Source organism: Homo sapiens, chromosome Y (assembly GCF_000001405.40).
Source record: "Homo sapiens chromosome Y, GRCh38.p14 Primary Assembly".
Taxonomy (NCBI): Eukaryota; Metazoa; Chordata; class Mammalia; order Primates; family Hominidae; genus Homo; species Homo sapiens.
In genome coordinates, this window is record NC_000024.10 from 8557619 (window position 1) to 8562546 (window position 4928).

At 45.0% G+C, this 4928-nt stretch overlaps 1 long non-coding RNA gene across 1 annotated transcript; it reads right to left on the bottom strand.

The window, feature by feature from the left end:
- Positions 1 to 3122: 3122 nt before the first annotated feature.
- LOC107987354 (uncharacterized) lies at positions 3123 to 4610 on the bottom strand. The gene is made up of 3 exons (XR_001756088.2): positions 4473 to 4610; positions 3434 to 3508; positions 3123 to 3281 (listed from the first exon to the last, which is right to left on the bottom strand). It is a non-coding gene; the product is annotated as an uncharacterized LOC107987354 (long non-coding RNA).
- Between the last annotated feature and the right edge of the window lie 318 nt (positions 4611 to 4928).

Sequence of the window (4928 nt, forward strand, 5' to 3'; positions counted from 1 at the left end):
AGGGGCCCTGAGGTCAGGAGTTTCAGGGCCTCATGGTTGTTTTTTTTTTTTTCAGGAAGTTTTCCCCCGTAGCTTGCTGGCTCTTCCTGTACCATTATTTTCTGATTAGGCAGGTTGATAGCTCTGAAAGTCTGGCATCCAAACCTGCATTATGAATGCCTATGCCATAATCTGAGGGCACCTGGCTAGACTGTGAGCTCTGGCTAGTATCACAATGAATGTCACATTGCTTAGTCAAAAGTCCCTTCAGCTTGGCGGAAAAGGGGACCTCCATGGAGTTGCATTGATGTTGGACTGTTGCCTGTCTTCTTTGTGGGATCCGCGGAATCATCTCATGATCCTAAGAGAGGGCAGATATGAGTGACTCTGAAGAAACATCAATAAAAGTCCCAGAAATAAACTGTAAATCCCTAAGGATCCAAAAGTATCCACCTAATTCCTCAGGATGGCCCAGATGTTGTAGGGGTGAGTCTTTTGGAAACTTGCCCCACTCTGATTTTTATGTACAACCCTTGTGTTTTCTGGGGTTGCTTTCTGCTAGGTGGGGCTTCCTGTAGAACCACACAGCCTCAGTAGCTGCCGGGCTCTGTGTTTCTGTGAGAGTGTTGCGAGAGTTAGATGTCTATGTGTGTGTGATATTCTGTTTGTGTGTGTGTGTGTCTGTCCCTTTAAGAGGAGTCTGCTAAAAGGAATGTGGCTAACGCTGTTCAGCATGCTGCTTCTTCTTCTTCTTCTTCTTCTTCTTCTTCTTCTTCTTCTTCTTCTTCTTCTTCTTCTTCTTCTTTTTTGAGTCTTGCAACCTTCTGGTGAGCTGTCTGTGTGGCTCTTCTTGGGTTGTGGGGCTCTGTGTTCTGATTTTTTTCTGTGGACCAAGAATCTGCAATGAATTGTTAAGTATGCCAAGACATGCTGGCATCCATATGACTACCCTTGAAAAAGAAAAGCCACTCCTCTAGAAGGAAGAGAAGCACACCACATGAAAAAAAATGCATCTCCCTGTGTTTCATTATCCTATGGCCAAACCAAGGAGAGACACTAGCAGTCCTTTCTTCAGGGCCCCTTGAATTTACCTCAAATTTGGTTCCCAGGGGAAAATGTATTTCACTCTGTGAGGGGGCACTCCTCCATCTTCTTAGGGTTTCATTCTGTGGCATAGAGTGTGAACAGCAACTATTTCAGATAAAGGTGAGTATACAATCTGGTGAGGTGTGGATGGGTTCATGCAACTTGACCTGCAAAATAAATAAATAAAGACAGATGATGCAGAAGTTGCTTCTAATTCCATTACCACATTGCCTTAATTGCACACGCAGTCCGCATCATGGCCCAGTGTTCAGATGGAAGAACTCCAACCTTCAAGGAACATTTTATATGCAAATCGGGGCCATGTTGGCAAACTCGTGATTTGAGGGCTTTCATACACAGAGCCAAATGGGAGTTGAATATTTTGATACTGCATAGGATGTTGCCTCCAGAGTTTCCTCTTCTTTTCTTGACTTCCATTTTCCTCCTTGGCCTAGGGTTTTCTGGGTCTGGCTCAATGACTTCCACCTTAAACATTTCCTAGTCCATGGAGAATTACACTCATGGTCATCCATTGCGTGAGTGTTTTATTCTAAACACTGTCATGTTTAATGACTGTCCAACTTTGATACTTTTATAACAATAAATTCCCATTACAGCCACCAACAAGAAAACTCTTGTCCTCCCACTTCTATCAGAGAGCTGCACAATTCCTGAAAAATGAGAAACAGGCAGCCTTGTCTGGCTTTTGCCTGGTAATTTAGCCTTTTTTTCATTTCATCTGCAGGACCGTCTCACTGGAGGGGTTCTGTCATTTGGCTGTTGCTGGATGGGACTGCCTCTCACCACAGATTATTTAGCTGCCTGGAATTTCAGAGAGCAAAAGGGACTTCAGGTAGGCTGGCTGCCCTCCAGGTTGTGGGTCATTGTCTCATTGTGTGGGCTGAAGTTGTTTGCACTTTGCAGGAGGCTTTTGGGTCCTCTGACAGAACTCAATGAATATTGCTTAGACTCCAGCACAAGGCAGCTCCTTCTCTCAAGTGAGTCTTGATTTTTTTTTAAGCTTTCATGTTGAATCCACAGTGTCCCTCAACAGCACAACTGAACATGATTTTTAGACTTGCCATCCCCACAGATGGCATGGAGACACTGTCTCAACCTCATCTGGATGAAGGGAGGCAGCAAGGTCAAGATCCCAACCATCTTTTGCTGATAGCTGCCTCTAGGCTATTAGGTATGATTCTCTCACCTAAACAACCCTCAACAACACATCAGACAATATTCCAATCCCCATGAGACCCAATTCTTATACACAGCCTCTTCGGGAATGGAGTCAGAAGAGTAGTTTTCAGTGACCACCTCATGGTCTCGAAATGCCTGATGCACCGGAAAGACATAACTACAGAGACAGCCTGAAGGGGCTCTGAAGTAGAGATTTTAGTGTCCCACATTGGGTTTTCATAGGCAGTCCTTTTCCCGATAACAGGCCAGCTCTGCATGTACCATTTTCCTCTGCTTAGGCAGGCTGGCAGCTCTGAGAGTCAGGCCACTAAGCATGCCCATACGTTAGTCTCAGGATAATCAGCTGATAGCGAGTTCTGGCTAGCTTCACATTGAAAGGAACCATGGCCTAGTGACAAATCCCTGTGGCTTGGGAGAAAAGGAGACCTCCGTGTAGATTTGCATCGGTGGTGGACTCTCGCCTGTCTTCTCTGTGGGATACACGGGGTAGTACTATGATTCTAGGAGAGGACAGACGTGAGCCAGCCTGAAGAAACATCAAGTACCACCCCAGGAATAAATCTTGAATTCCCTAAATATCAAAAGGATCTGCAAGATTTCTGAGGCCTGCCTACACATTTTAGGGTGAGTCTTTTTGAAACTTGCCCCACTGTGATTTCTATGTACCAGGTTGCTCTATTCAAAGTGAGGATTTCTGCAGAACCATAAAACCTCATGAGCTGAAAGAAAGTGTGTTTTTGTGAGAGTGTTGTGAGTGTTGGATATCAATGTGCTTGTTTCCTTGCATGTTTGTGGCTGTGTTTGTGTCTTTGTGTGCCTGTAAGTATAGCATGCTTAAAGAAATGTGGCTAACACACTTTAGCACTTCTTTCTTTTGTCTCCCAACCCTTTGGTGTCCTGTCTGTGTGGTTCTGCTTGACCTGCAGGGCTTTGTGTTCTTCATTTTTCTGCAGATCATGAATCCACTGTGAATTGGGAGGTAGGCTGAGACATGCTGGCATCGAAATCACCTCCCCCTGCAAAAAAAAAAAAAAAAAAAAAAAAAGCTACTTTTCTAGAAAGAAGAGGAGCACACCACACCAAAAAACCAACAACATTCAGTGCTTTACTGTCCCTTGTCCAACCCAGGAAGAGACATTAGCAGTCCTCAGGGACCCCTTGAATTTACCTTGAATTTGTTTCTCTGTCAAGCAGGTGCTTCAAGTTGTGATGGGGCACTCCTTCGTCATCTTGTAATTTCATCCTGGGACATAGAGTGTAAGCAACATTAAGGTAAGATAAGGATGAGGACACAATCTGGTGATTATGTTCCTGCAACTTTACCTGCAATAAATAAATAAATAAGGACAGATGACACAGAAGGTGCTTCCAACTTCATCCCAGCATTCCCTTAACTTCACAAGCAATCCACACCATGGCCCGGTGTTCAGGTGTGATTAGACCAACATGCAAGGAACATTTGGGGTGCAAATTGGGGCCATGCTGGCAAACTCCCAATTTGAGGGCTTTCATACCCAGAGGCAAATAGGCATGGAATGGATTGATGCTGGGTGGGATGTTGTCTCCACGCTTTCCTCTTCTTTTCTTGACTTCCATGTTCCTCAATAGCCTAGGGTTTTCTGGCTCAGTGATTTCCACACTAAACATAGCCCAGTTCATTGAGACTGACCTTCCTGGGCAACCATTGTGTGAGTGTTTTTTTTGAAACACTGCCATGTTTTAACGACTGGGAAGCTTTGATACTTTTAAAACAAATAAACTCTTGCTTTCCCACTTCTATCATAGGGCTGCATGATTCCCAAAGCAAGAGAAGCAGGCAGCTGTGTCTGGCTTTTCCTCATATCTAGCCTGTATTTCATTTCATCTGCATGGCCTTTTTATTGTAGAGGATCTCTTTCATTGTTCTGTTGCTGGATGGGTCTGCCTCTCAGCACAGATTATTTAGCTGTCAGGGATTTCAGAGAGCAAAAGGGACTTTGAGGAGTCTGGCTGTGCTCCAGGTTGTGGGTCCTTGTCTCATTTTGGGGGCAGAGGTTGTTTGCACTTTGAAGGAGGCTTTTGGATCCTCTGACAGGAATCACTAAGAATTGCTTGGACTCCAGCAAAAAGCACCTCATTCTCTCAGGCTAACTTTGATTTTTCTTGGCTTCCATGGGGAATCCACAGTGCCCTTCAACAGCACTACCAGACATGTTATTCAGGCTTACCATCGTCACTGTCTCAACATCTTCTGCACCTGTGAGAGGCCAGCCCGAGATGTGAGAACACTGTTCCACCTTGGACTTGCCTTTGTCGTGGTTCCTGTCTTTCCCAGAGAGCCCCTGCAAGATGCAAGATGAAGGGAGACAGCTAGGTCTACAGCCCAGACATCTTTCACTGACACATGCCTCTGGGGCCTCAGGTAAGATTCTATCACCCAAAGAACCTTAAACAACACACCAGACTATATTCTAATCCCCAAGCGACCTGATTCTTGCAAACAGCCCCTTTCAGGAATGGAGAGAGAAGAGCAGTTTTCAGTGAACAATTCATAATCTCAAAACCCCTACTCCAATTGAACCAGACAAGAGAGACAGCCTGAAGGGGCCCTGAGTTGCAGAGTTTTACTGTAACGCAGTGGGTTTTCACAGGCAACTTTTTCTGCGATTCCAGATCTGCTCTTC